Source organism: Homo sapiens, chromosome 19 (genome assembly GCF_000001405.40).
Source record: "Homo sapiens chromosome 19, GRCh38.p14 Primary Assembly".
Taxonomy (NCBI): domain Eukaryota; kingdom Metazoa; phylum Chordata; class Mammalia; order Primates; family Hominidae; genus Homo; species Homo sapiens.
The window spans coordinates 21,939,191-21,953,856 of NC_000019.10; the positions used below are offsets into that span (position 1 = coordinate 21,939,191).

Here is a 14,666-nt window from a genome sequence, read left to right on the forward strand (position 1 = left end):
AGCTTGACGGAGACAAAACAAGGACAATGATAGACAATCTCATTCATAAAGACAATTTTTTTTTGAGACTGTGTCTCACTCTGATGCCCTGGCTGGAGTGCAGTGGCCCAATCTCGACTCACTGAAACCTCTGCCTCCCAGGTTCAAGCAATTCTCCTGCCTCAGCCTCCTGAGTAGCTGGGATTACAGGCACATGCCAGCATGCCTGGCTAATTTTTGTATTTTTAGTAGAGACAAGGTTTTACCATGTTGGTCAGGCTGGTCTTGAACTCCTGACCTCATGATCCACCTGCCTTGGTCTTCCAAAGTGCTGGGATTACAGGTGTGAACCATCGCACCCAGCCAAGACAAAAATTTTTTAAACCAATTACAAACAAAGTGACTCTTTCTCGGTATAAAATGAATAAAACCATCAATAAGTTTATCTCAAGAGTACAGGATAAGTTGAACATTGTATAATCTACATGTCTACATAAAATAGGCACAGAATAAGAGCTTGGTAACTAGAAATAAAAGAATATTTTATTTTATTTTCTAAATATACAAGGTATTTCAAATAAAGTACAGCAAATGTACATAACTACTGAAAGTTTGTCTTTTAATGTCATAAACATAATAATTATGTTGGTGTTCAAGATTTTTATTAAACATTGCATCCATGGTTTCAGCCAACAGGTTAAAATGAGAAATCAGTTACACAATTATACTGGAAAAGCAGAACTAGTCAATAAACTAATAGCTAAACTATTGGTTCTACCTAGGTAGATTGGATCCTTGCAAAGCAACTAACACAAAAATTGTTCATGTATATCGAGGATTTAAAACTTCTAGGAGAGGCTCGGTGGGGTGGCTCATACCTGTAATCCCACCACTTTGGGAGGCTGAGGTGGCAGATCACGAGGTGGGGAGTTCGAGAACAACCTGGCCAATTTTATGTAGCAAGACTGAAAGTTTTATAAGAGTAAAGAGCAATATTTTTTTTCTCCATTTTATCTCCTAAAGCTAGCAAGAAGTATGGCACAACGTGTGTGCTCAACACACATTTATCATTTAAATGAATAAATACATCCCCTTTGTAAATGGTCAAGCTATGCAAACCAAGACTTTTTTAGTTATTATTGTTTAGTTGATAGAATCAAATCTAAGGTAATAAACTGTAAAATTCAGAAAGCACTATTAAAAGTTTGATGTTACCTCATCATTCTTAGGTAAAATAGAGTAAAAATTTTAGTCTCTAAGTTTGTGACCATTAAAAAATTAAATTGCCACGTGAGAATGAAAAATGAACTCTCACTTTAGGCGAGCATAATTTGAGAGGAAAAGGCGAAAAAGAAAAGAAAAACTGAAAACTCGATTGGGTCAGATATGCCAGTTCTACTCTCTCTCTCTATATATATTTTGGAAATAGTTCCCTCCTCTCCTGACGCAGAGGGAGGCTGGCTGGGGGATCCTGGGTCCCTCTGTCCTCCCCGCGGTGGCAGTGGCTGATCTCTGCTCAGGCGTGAGGGGTGCGGCCGTGCGCTGGGCTTGAGCCTGCCCGGCCCAGCCCCTCCTCACTTCCCTGGACTCCTCACGGTGTCTACGGGCCCCTGCACAATCCTGAGCGTCCCTCTGATGGAAGGGGAGGTGGCAGCAGAAAGCCAGTGGGAGAAACTGGCCCCGCAGGTCGAGGAGGGCTCGGCCAGCTGTGGGAAATGCTCTGGTTGACCTCGGATTTCTGCGCACTAAGCTGAGCCGCGACCCCGGCTTTGAGCCGAGGCATCCCCGGGCTGGGCGACCGTGGGCGTGGGCGCTCCGGCTGCTGCGGCGGTTCCTGCTGTGCTCAGCTGGGTCACGACTGGAACTGGCGCCCTCCGGAAGTGAAGGAGGTGCCCCGCAGAGGAGGCGGTAGCCGTGGTCCCTGTAAACCAGGCCTTGCTGACAAATGTCAGACGCCAAGAACAGAAGAACGGAGAGCTTCAGCCAAATGGAGGAACTGCTGGAGCGGCTGAGGGTGAAGCTGCCCAAACTCCTCAAAGTGGAGCAGCAAAGCAAACACCAGAGAAGGACAAGAAAAATGAAAGTCAAAGAAAATTAGCAGAAACCAAAGGCAGACGCTAACGCAGTGCAAAACAGTTCACATCATGATAGAAAGAGTTGATGAGTCTCGGAAACTAATCTTAGTGACAGAACGAAAGGACAGCAGTGAACATGGTAAGGTGCTGACGATTCTGGTCCACTGGATCCCACCATCCCTAGGACAGTAAATACCATCACAGTCACCACACAGTGAGTTACAACTGCACCATTTCCTGTTTATTCCTAAATGAATAAAGGTGATTCTCAACACAAGTGCAAATAAAAAGTTATTTGTTTTTTTTTAAACTAAAGTGTCATGCTTTAGCTTTTTTTTTTTTGAGTTCTTATAATTTTGAAAATGAAGTTGACATTTGTATGGCTTATGAAGTTTTTGATAGTCTTGCATTAGTTGAATTGTTCAAAGTAAGTATATTTTAAACTAAGAAGAGTCAATTGTATTTGTTTTACATATTAAAGGCTCAAAGTAACAAATAATGTATCTGTTTATGATTTGAAAAGTTCAAAGTTTGATTATTTATCCGTACATACACAGAATAGTGTATCGTGCTAAAACATTTGTTTTTTAAAAGTGGCAGCCATAGTTCCTGCCTGCCTGGATATATTTTGGACTTTAGTATGTTAAAGACAACGTAAAAAAAAAACTTTATTATGTTTTAGAAAATCTAAGATTGGTATACACAAACTTTACAAATTGCTGTAGGGTTCAGCAAACTATGTTTATAATGTGACATTAATACCTCTACATTTTGATGTGTAAATCTTTCTTGAGAAAAGATTGTTTTTTAAAAAAATGTCTACAAATTCAGGCTTCAGTTATAAAATGACAAAATAGTAAAGAAATGAGTGGTTTGCCGTATGATATGAATACAGGCATTCAATTAAAATACCAAATATTTTAATGAAAAGTTTTTAGACAATAGACTTAAATAATTTCTTGATATTTTACTACAGTAATAAATATTCACAAATATTTTATAAATCATATCTATTAGTACTAGGTTTTACTTAATAGTAGTATATATATAAGATCAAAGATCTGTTAAAAATAGATATGTTTATCAGTAATTTGGTGTTTCTAAATACCCAGAAGTCTTGTTTTAATCAGATTAGCTCTGGGGATAGTTTACTAATTTTATTTTATAAACAGTGTATTCAAAGTTTTCTAGTTTAACCTAATATTGATTGATGATGGGTAAACAAATCTCTTCTTGCTAATCCCATAGGTTTATTAAATTGTTGAAGATATTTTTAATTTAAAAATTCTGTCTTCAATGTTGTTTACAGGGATTTAGGTCTAGTTTAACCTGCTCAACCTGTTAATCAGTGTAGGTGCCAGATTCCAATTTATTTTCAGTGTGTTTGTATGACTTTTCTTTCTTTCTTTTCTTTCTTTTTTTCAGACAGAGTCTTGCACTGTCATCCGGGCTGGAATGCAATGGTGCAATCTTGGTTCACTGCAACCTCCGCCTCCTGGGTTCACACAATTCTCCTGCCTCAACCCCCTGAGTAGCTGGTATTACAGGTACACACCACCACAGCCAGCTAATTTTTTTGTATTTTTAGTAGAGATGGGGTTTCACTATGTTGGCCAGACTGGTCTGGAACTCCTGACCTTGTGATCTACCACTGCCAGCCTCCCAAAGTGCTAGGATTACAGGTGTGAGCCACCGCACCTGACCAACTTTGGTCTTTGAATAAAATGTCTATTAACAAAGACAAATTTCTGCACATTTATCAAGTTGCTTGTAGTAACTCGAAACGTAATATATCCAAAATTCTCCTGTTATTGTCTGAGAAAACAGATTCTACTGTTACCTAAAAAATCAACTGGAAGGCACTTTTATAACCTTGCACCACGTAAGAAAAAAACTGCAATGCAGTAGTAATAAGTGTAGATACATCAAATGAAAAATGGTAATCGAGAATGTCACTTTCAATGTTTGAGTATTTGGACTTTGGTTTTAAAAAATGTAGTAAAATAGAGCTTTTGGTAAGCTTTCTGTAGATTAACATTATCATAAATTAGGAAAAAATCCTTTAAAATGTAAATAAACAAAAAAATACACTGAACAACAACAACAACAAAAAACTAAGATCCAGCAGTGCATACATATTTGTCCTTATTTTGGGAGAGTATGAAACAGACCATTGCATGAACTTTATACAGATGTTTTGCCACAGTGGCATACTAATAAAAATGATTTATCTTTAATTTGAATTAACATGTCCACATCTTAAAAATACTGCTTTGTACTAAGAATAATAAATGTAAAAGTCTTTATACACAGGAGGATCCTGATCCTCAACTAAACATATGTGGCAACCCATTCCTCTGTTTCTTCCAAACTGAAGCCTGACTAAGGCTTAAATATAGAGTGAGAGAGACTCATTAACAGGACATGTGAAACAAAAAAAATGAGATAGGATGGTCATTTCTAAGGCTCAGCAATTGCCTGGGGGACCTCAATATAATGATATCAACTATGAGTCTTACTGGGTAAAAATAAACATAAAAAGCTGAGAACATCATGACTTTAATTTGGTGGAATAGAGTCTCTGGAATTATACACAGTTGTGCTAAAAGTATTGAGCCAGAATGATATGTATCTGAGGATTATTAAAGGGAATATTTACAAACACAAAAGTATTTGTTCCATATCTTGTTACAGTAGCAGTACTCTTGTCTGTAATGTCAGCTTCCCCAAGCTACAGATGCCATAGACAAACTAAGACTTAGTGTCTAATATGTTGTTTGCAGTTAGTTTCTAAATTTAAAAAACTTGCAATAATTTTATGAATTTCATTAAATGCTGTTTCATGTATAAATCTCACTAAAAGGCACTATTCAGTAGATATTTCCCTCAGTCTTTTCTGGGATTTTCTGCTCCTTGTTTCCAAACCAACCTTATTTGAATCCTAGGCATTTCTGAAGCCCAATATGTAATAACAGAAAGAAAGCAGAAATGAAGCCAAGTTACCCCAACCAGTCCATGCCTAATATATTTGGCTCCCCAAATGAACCAAAAACCACACAAGCTAAACAACAGTGGATTTAAAATTCAACCTAAATTCAACAGTAGTTGTCAAAATCATATGCAAAAATTAGCAAAGTCACAATGTAGAAACCCTTAACCTGTTATTCCACAACAAATCATCAAATTCTTATTTTGGCATTTTTAGAAAAAATAAATATATTACATATGACAAAATATACCCACTCACTTATAATAAAATATTTTGAAATATGCATGGTTTTATTCTTATTCTTAAATATATACTATATTATTTAGACAAGACTTTCAGTAAAAAATACTTACAGCTACCGTGTATGAATTAAAACAGCTATGGGAAAATAGGATTTTTAGTTAATAATGAAGATTGAAGCTCCAATGATGTAAAGTATTGTTTCCCGGGCACACAGCTAATTACCCAAATCAAGCTGAAATATGTTTGATTTAAAAATTTTAATTTTCCCACTGTTGACAATGTTGACATAACAGCTAAATCTTAGTCTCAGAGCTGGTAGTTTGGAATAAATCAAGACAAGTACTATTGAGGAAGGATGGGTAGTCAAGAAAGTGACTATGTCTTTGGGATGCAGCAAACATGGCCATTGTACAGTGGCTGCATATTGCCAACACAATAAGCCCCAGCATTCGCATTGTATTCCAGCTTATTCAAGCAAAGCTCTCTCCAATAGAGAAACTCCCCTGTAAACAGCATGCACATTTTGATTTTACCTTTCCTCAAACTGACCTTTTACTCATTATAATAGTAAAAAGCACACCTGTGGGTGGAGATTTAAGATGCTAGTGAGATGTGAAAAATGAACAAGCATGTACAGCTACTGTGTCCGTGCATCAAGAGGGCCATCCAGAACATGCTTACTAATAACACCACTTTCCACCTCTTTATAAATAATTATATAAGACTCCCATAAAAAAGTCCCTAGTTCCAGTCTTTGCTTTCTCATTCCATAAGCAACACACCCTGAATCCCTTCTCTCTCAAGATGTACTGGGTATTCTGCACCTAACCTTTAAAATAGACTTACTCCTTTGCAATAAATTACTTTATGCTGCATCTTCTTTGTGTTTGTCTCTTGTTTAAATTTTTTTGAAACTAAGGCAACAACTGAGGTTTCAGAAAAGCCATTCACACTATCATGCTTTGTTTTGTATTTTTTGTTATCAACATTTTTTCTCTTACATGTCAATATTCACATTTTAAACACAGTCAACACTGCTAAATTGAAAATTTAAATGACCACAAAATAATTTATCATAAAAGCATGTATATCTCTCATGTTTCACCTTCACCACACTATCTATTCAACTTTTTAAAAAAATTTGATGGTCAAATACATATATCAAATTTAATATTTTATTTAATAATTTGAATTCAATTCCAAAATGATTTATATGGAAGTATATTGTTATATTTACTTTTGACCAAATTTGGCTTTCCAAGCTAAGGTAAAACTAAAGCATGTTTTCAATGTGTTAAGGAACTTAACCTTACTAGCATTGAGAGACATTAGCTAGCTTGCCTTAGGTAGATAGCAAGGCAAGGGTTTATGGAGAGCCCCCAACCCCCAGGTTAGTGCCTTATCCCCACATAGCAGAAAAAGCAGCTTGGAAAAAAAAAAGCTCCAGACACTGTTAAGGGAACTAGCACAGGGGGTTGTGCCTGGACTCATGCCCTCGGATGCACAAGTAGGAGAACCTAAAGCCCATTTAGATAAAAATTTGCACACACCTCTGGCTTACTTAGATAATGGAGCAAGGCCTGACATAGAAATGTCTGCTCTTTGCATAGTCAGTGGGCTCCCAGGAAAAAGTTTTTTCTTTTTGTGGGCATGAACACAGTGGGCTTTGATGGGTTCTGTGGACACTTTCTTTTCTTTTTTAACTGTGAGTCTGGTATTTATAAATTATTACTTTAGCCCTTGATTGGTCGTGGGCCAAGGTCTTTGGCCAAGCTTTTGCATCAGCTTCTAATAGGTTCTGGGCCAACATGAGCAGCCTTTATGGATCATTACTTCAGCCCCTGATTGGTCTCAGGCCAAGGCCCCAGGCAAAGCTGAGTCACACATTCTCTAAGACAGCTCACAAACTAAGCACAATTTTTTCCCATTCCAGTTTGTAAAAACCCTGGATCACAGCCTTATAGTGGACAACCCATTCAGGCCTCCCTCTCTGCTGGAGTAGGACTTTTTTCTTTTTGCATATTAAACTTTTGTTCCAAACCTCACCCTTGTGTCCACACTCCTTAATCTTCTTGAATGTAGCACAAAGAATTCTGGGTATTATCTCAAACAACAGAGGTTGTTACATCTTGGTGCACTGATAAAACTATAACATATTTTGGTGTGTTGGCCAGGGAGAAAGGAATTCATCAGAAGGGTGATTAGGAGTGAGGGTCATTGTCCTCAGTTACTTTCTGAGGCTTCTTGTCCTAAGTTTTTGTCTCTTAGAGACAAACCTGAAAACATTGGCTCTGTTCTAATCCAGTTTCCTTTCACGAAGGGCCTACCCATTGTGTGGAACAGAAAGGAGGTCCTATGGCAACTGAAGGTTTCTGGTTGAGTCTATACCTCAGTGTTACCTAAAAGCCCTTGGACCAACTCCAGTCCCCAACAGCCAATGAAGGTGTTGGCACAAGAACTTCCAGTCTTTTTTTTTTCATTTCATTTTTTTTCTTCTTCTTCTTTTTTTTGGTACCTATAATTTCTCCTATTCATTCTTTGTATGCAATGTTGTGAATGTTTTTACAGCCTATGGATATAATCATGCTGAGTAAAGTCAGTCAGTGTCTTAGTCATCAGATATGTAACTCAGAGTTGTTGTTTTATAATTTCCTAGCAACAGGGCGAATTCAAAATATCTCTAAATTTTTACTCAGTAAGGGCCTTTCTCTCCCACAGTAATACAGTAATAAACATTCATGGCACTGTATGAGAGAATATTTCACCCTGAGTAAATACCCTCCTTTGCATTTGATTTGTTTTTTTCTCTCCATGTGAAAGCTCAGCACTATCCAATGAATCTAAACAGTTCCTTTATGAGACAAGTTCATTTTTGTTTGTTCTGGGGCATATGCTATAGGAACAGCCTATCAAAACCCAAACCTCCTTCTAACTTTTGCCTAAAAATATAAAGTTGGAGTTTTTACCTAGGATTTCTAATTTTACAGCACCCCTAGTGGAATGGGATTGTTCTCCATAGGAAGCCTTGTCAATGCTCCCTCCAAAACTTACAGTCCCCCAATTATTTTCCCTTTTACATCCCTTTATCACTGATAAGGCCTCATGCCCTATTTCTAAACAGAAAAACTCAACTTTCAACAGCTGGAAGAAGCCATGCTGACAAAACAAATCTTCAATTTTTACACATTTTTAAGGCACATGTTCTTCATCAAACTACACTGGAATTTGAACAAAAAGGAATTTTATGTTGAAGGTAAACTCATCCCATTCTCTGGGATTCTGATGTTTTCCTGGGGCCATAGCAGGGGAAGCCAAAAATGGTATTAGGGCATTCCCTCTATAAAAGTATCTTGCCTAAATCCAACTACTGCATAATCTCTCCCCAGCCACTGGAGTACCTTGAGAGTCTTTTGGGCTGAGTGGATCTAGAAAACGAGCGGGATGGAAAGCTAGGTGAGAAGGTGAGCATAACGTGTCCTGCCAACGAGCTCCTCTGGACCCATGGGTGAAGGTCATGCTCGCATCCATGGGTAACATCTATGATGGTGGCTGGGAACCAGAGGGAAAAAAGGAAGGTCGAGAAGTGGTATGCCCTTTTTCTCTTTCCGCCACACCAAAAAGAGAAAGGGGACTGAGGAAAGCCTTGTCTCCCCTTTTTCTAGATAGGTAACAAACCGTCTACAGTTTGCATTCCCCTCTAGTGCATTCTGAAACACTGGAACCTCTTTAACCCTGAAACTCTAAAGAAAAAATGGCTTATATTCTGTCGCACAAACCCATGGCCATCTTAGAGACAGGAGGCCTGGCTTTCTAAGGGAAGTATTAATTTCAACACTACCCAACAAATAGATCTTTCTTTGCCCTGTGAGACAACCCAGATCTTTGTAAGCATTGTAAAATTAAATCTGCCCTCTTGGCAGCCCTACAAAATATAATTACCAAAAGTTGAGATACAAACCCTTGGGGAACCCTAAATGCAACTTCCAGGTGCCTCACCAGCCTCCCATATTTTGGGCCCCCAATACCCATATATCATCAGCTCCTCTGGTTGTGCCACTGAAGAAACCCACATAATTGCTGTTGCCCCTACAGAAAATGCCCAATAAACATGGTGTTACTATGATTCAAGTTCCCTTCTCATTGCAGGACCTTAAGAAAATAAAGTGAGCCCCAGGAAAGTTCTCTAATGACCCTGATACATATATAGAGTCTTTCCAAAATTTAACCCAATGTTTAATGTTACATGGAGAGATGCTATGCTGCTTTTAAGCCAAACCCTAACTGTTAAGAAACAAGTAGCCTTACAGGCAGCAAAAAAACTCAAAAAAACAAACAGTAGGTTACCTAGAGCCAGTCAGAAAAGAAACTCAGTTGAAAGGGAAAAAAGAGACAGAATCCCCATTCCCAATGAGAATAAAAACAATGACCCTTAAATATTCTAATTGGAGTCCTTGTGATCCTATGGAGAAGTGGAAAAGAAAACACTTCCTGATGTGCATATTAGAAAGCTTGCAAAGAACCACAATCAAGCATGTTAATTACTCTAATCTGTCCCTGTTAAATCAGAAACCAGATAAAAATCCCCTGGCCTTTTTGAAAAGGCTGAGAAAAACTTTAGTAAAACAAACCTCCCTGTGTTCTGATATGACAAAAAAGGTTTATTACTTAGGCAGGCTCTAATATCAGAAGGAAGTTGCTAAAACAGGCCCTGTTCAAACATATTTCTAGGTTTTGTCATCCTTAAGTTGAAACTTTGCAGTATTTAAATAACACTGTTCTCTGTGCCCCAACTGAAGAGGTCTCAGGAAGGCACTAAGACTTTCCTCAATTTATTAGCTGAAAGGGAATATAGGGCCTCAAAATTTAAAGCTCAGCTCTGTCAAACTGCAGTACAGTAGATAGGTCTAGTCAGAAGATACAAGAACACCGGATAAAGAAAGAATTAAACTCATTTTCTTCTTTTCCTTTCCCAAACTCATTGGGGGGACCTTACACATTACTGGTTTTTGCAAACTCTGGGTACCTAGGAATGTTAAAATAGCCAATCTTTTATACCACCTTATTAAAAAAACTCAAGCACCTAAAAACTCACTCGCTAACTTGGGAACCTAAAACTAAAAAGCCTTTAACCAACTAAAGCAAGCCTTACATAAAGCACCAACCCTCAGTCTTCCCATAAGGAAGGCATTTAATCTCTATGTATCAAAAAGGAAGTTAATGACCCTGGGAGTTTTAACTAAGGCTTAAGGTCCAGCTCAACAACCAGTGGGTTACCTAAGCAAGAAACTTGACTTGATGGCTAGAGGATGGCCAGCCTGCCTCTGAGCAGTTTTGGTGATGGCTTGCTGGTATCAAAGGCCACGAGGTTAACAATGGGAAATAACTATCTGCATTCCCACATAGGACTGCTGTCCTCTAATGGAAGCCTCTGACTAAAAACCACTTCCTGAAATATCAAATTTTGCTGCTAAGGTGATCTGCAGTCTGGTTAAAAACCTGCCCTTGCCTGAACTCAGCCACTTTCTCCCAGAGGAAACTAAAGAGCCTAAACAGGATTGTAAACAGGTAGTTGTGTAAACTGGTAAAAGATATAAGAAGAATCACTGCTTATATTCTCTGTAAAGTTTTAATTAATTAAATAAACATTTTTAAAGTGTACTCAACTTAATGAAAAGCGAATATCCAAGCTATAAGTATATTCAGAAAGCCTTTCTATTTTTATCTATATAAAACTTGTTTTCCTGGAAGAGGATTTTTTCTCACTTAACTAAATTACTTTTATCCACTCTTTCTTGTCACTGTTGATGCAAGCATAGAAGGCCCTAAAATAACCTCTGGTGGCCTGGGACTCCTCAAGAAAACAAAAAAGCCACCATAAATTGCATTTTAAAAGATCTCTGCTTTTTTTCATGAAACCCCTAGAATTAAAAGTAATAAGTTCCTCTCCAAATCTGTCTCTTTCTTCTAGCTATGCTTGTTTATTAGGCCCTGGAAACTATATGCCTAGCCCTGTTCTTTTTTTTTTTTTTTTATGCAGGACAGAGTCTCACTCTGTCACCTAGGCTGGAGTGCAACAGCACAATCGTGGCTCACTGCAACCTCCACCTCCTGGGTTCAAGCAATTCTCCTGCCTCAGCCTCCCAAGTAGCTGGGATTACAGGCATCTGCCACCACACCCAGCTAATTTTTTTTATTTTTAGTAGAGATGGGGTTTCACCATGTTGGCCAGGCTGGTCTCAAACTCCTGACCTCAGGTGATCCACCCGCCTCAGCCTCCCAAAGTGCTGGGATTACAGGCATGAGTCACCATGCCTGGCCCCTAGCCCTGTTCATAAAAGGCCTCAACCAGAGACCAATAATCCAATTAGAAAACTGGCAAACAAAAAATCTTATAGTTACTGAATCTTCTTCTGTTTGTCTAGATGGTTATATACGTGTTTTGTGTGATGTCTATAAAAAACCTCTAATTAATTGGTGTACAAATAAGCACTTAGATAAAATGTTAAGTCAAAATTAAAGGCTGTAGTGCCTCTTGGTTCATGCAACTTCAATATTTAAGAAATAAAAACATTCTTGTAGAATACAAACATCTTAAACATGTAAATAGGTGGTCTAAATTATGCAGGTCAAATATTAGGTTTGCTAAATGTTTTAATGTAAACTGCTTCTTTGGCCCTTGAGTACTGTCAACCTGCCAGCTTCACAATTAGTAAGGCCTAGTGACATATTAAAGTAACCATGCCCCTAACTATACTGGAAGAAGTCAGACTTTATCTGCTCCTAGCACATAATTAAAACCACTTACCAGGTTTTACATTAAAGTTAAAATTACAAAAAGTTACCATTATAACATGTAATTGAGGCTACTGAAAATGAATGTGTATGCAACGTGTGTAAAAACAGTAAAATTTTATAATAAAAAATTATAAGAAGGCATAAAAATCTACATTTTTCCTAGGAGTAAAAGATTGTCTTAAATTAAATAAAGTGAAAGTTTTAAGCAAATTTTTGAAATACCAAAAAATTAATTTTGCAAAAGAATACTCTGTGTAAAAATATTAACTAAATTCAAAGGAATATCATATGGTGTTCCTTAAAATTAAGCATTTAATGAAAGCACAACAAAGCTTTCTTAAGATGCTCATCTGTACATATCAAAATTTCTAAAAGATTATAAAAGATTTGTAAAAATCGGAGATCCATTCCAAGATGGCCAAATAGGAAGAGCTCTGGTCTGCAGCTCCAAATGTGATTGAAGAAGATGATGGGTGATTTCTGCATTTTCAACTGAGGTACATGGCTCATCTCACTGGGACTGGATGGACAGTGGGTTCAGCCCATGGAGGGTGAGCCAAAGCAGGACAGGGTGTCACCTCACCTGGGAGGCACAAGGGGTTGGGGGATTTCCCTATCCTAGCCTGGAGAAGCCAGGACAGACTGTACTTGGAAAAATGGGATATTCCCACCCAAATGCTGTGCCTTTCCCAAGGTCTTAGCAACCAGTAGACAAGAAGATTCTCTCCCGTACCTGGCTCAGCAGGTCGTGAACCCACAGAGCCTTGCTCACTGCTAGCACAGCAGTCTAAGATCAGATGGCAACGCAGCAGCCTGGCTAGGGGAGGGGCATCCACCATTGCTGAGGCTTGAGTAGCTAAACGAAGTGGCCGGGAAGCTTGAACTGGGTGGAGCCCACTGCAGTTCAGCAAGGCCTACTGCCTCTATAGACTCCAACTTTGTGAGCAAGGCATAGCTGAACAAAAGGCAGCAGATAGCTTCTGCAGATTTATATGTTCCTGTCTGACAGCTCTGAAGAGAGCAGTGGTTCACCCAGCATGGCATTTGAGCTCTGAGAATGGACAGACTACCTCCTCAAGTCAATCCCTGACCCCCATGTAGCCTAACTGGGAGACACCTCCCAGTAGAGGCCGACAGATACCTCATATAGGTGGGTGCCCCTCTGGGACAAACCTTCCAGAGGAAGGATCAGGCAGAAATATTTGCAGTTCTGCAATAATTGCCATTCTGCAGCCTCTGCTGGTGATACCCAGGCACTCAGGGTATGGAGTGGACCTCCAGAAAATTCCAACAAACCTGAAGCTGAGAGACCTGTTAGAAAGAAAACCAGCAAACAGAAAGGAATAGAAGCAACATCAGCAAAAAGGATATACACCAAAACCCCATCTGTATGTCACCAACATTAAAGACCAAAGGTAGATAAAACCACAAAGATGGGGAGAAACCAGAGTAGAAAAGCTGAAAATTCTAAAAACCAGGGCACCTTTTCTCCTCCAAAGGATGACAGCTCCTCACCAGCAATGGAACAAAGCTGGATGGAGAATGACTTTGCTGAGTTGACAGAAGTAGGCTTCAGAAGGTCGGTAGTAACAAACTTCTGAGCTAAAGGAGCATGTTCAAAACAAACACAAGGAAGCTAAAGACCTTGAAAAAAGGTTAGATGAATGGCTAACTAGAATAAACAGTGAAGAGAAGACCTTAAATGACCTGATGGAGCTGAAAACCATGGCATGAGAACACGATGCATGCACAAGCTTCAATAGCCAATTCAGTTAAGCGGAAGAAAGGGTACCAGTGATTGAAGATCAAATTAATGAAATAAAATGAGAAGACAAGCTTAGAGAAAAAGAGAAAGAAGAAATGAACAAAGCCTCCAAGAACTGTGGGACTATGTGAAAAGACCAAATCTACATTTGATACGTGTACCTGAAAGTGATGGGGAGAATGGAACCAAGTAGGAAGATGCTCTTCAGGATATTAGCCAGGAGAACTTCCCCAACCTAGCAAGGCAGGCCAACATTCAAATTCAGGAAATACAGAGAATCCCACAAAGATATTCCTCGAGAAGAGCAACTCCAAGACACATAATTGTCAGACTTACCAAGGTAAAAATGAAAGAAAAAATGTTACGGGTAGCCAGAAAGGTCAGGTTACCCCCAAAAGGAAGTCCATCAGACTAACAGTGGCTCTCTCAGCAGAAATCCTACAAACCAGAAGAGAGTGGGGGCCAATATTCAACATTCTGAAAGGAAAGAATGTCAACCCAGAATTTCATGTCCAGCCAAACTAAACTTCATAACTGAAGGAAAAATAAAATCCTTTACAGACATGCAAATGCTGACAGATTTTGTCACCACCAGGCCTGCCTTACAAGAGCTCCTGAAGGAAGCACTAAACAGGAAAGAAACAACTGGTACCAGCCACTGCAAAAACATGCCAAGTTGTAAAGACCATTGATGCTAGGAAGAAACCATCAATTATCAGGCAATTTTGTTGATCTTTTCAATAAAACAGCTCCTGGATTAATTGATTTTTTGAAGGGTTTTTTGTGTCTCTATCTCTTTCATTTCTGCTCTGATCTTAGT

The 14,666-nt window shown here is 38.7% G+C and overlaps 1 protein-coding gene and 1 pseudogene across 2 annotated transcripts in view, besides 1 other annotated feature; one reads left to right on the forward strand and one right to left on the reverse strand.

Annotated features, from left to right (window-relative positions):
* Nucleotides 1-624: 624 nt before the first annotated feature.
* ZNF208 (zinc finger protein 208) overlaps nucleotides 625-14,666 on the reverse strand; it is a 71,129-nt gene continuing 57,087 nt past the window's right edge. For both annotated transcript variants that reach the window (NM_001329974.2, NM_001329971.2), the window contains one exon: nucleotides 625-2,234. In NM_001329974.2, the coding sequence (NP_001316903.1) occupies nucleotides 2,122-2,234 (113 nt within the window). In that variant the 3' untranslated portion in view covers nucleotides 625-2,121. The remainder of the gene's footprint in view (nucleotides 2,235-14,666) is intronic.
* On the forward strand, nucleotides 1,630-2,343 carry MTDHP2 (metadherin pseudogene 2; annotated as a pseudogene).
* Nucleotides 8,623-8,823: a silencer, noted in NCBI's record as "peak3414 fragment used in MPRA reporter construct". NCBI's record gives its function as "represses an SCP1 promoter by STARR-seq MPRAs in K562 erythroleukemia cells {active_cell/tissue: K562}" and the evidence as "EXISTENCE:reporter gene assay evidence [ECO:0000049][PMID:32103011]".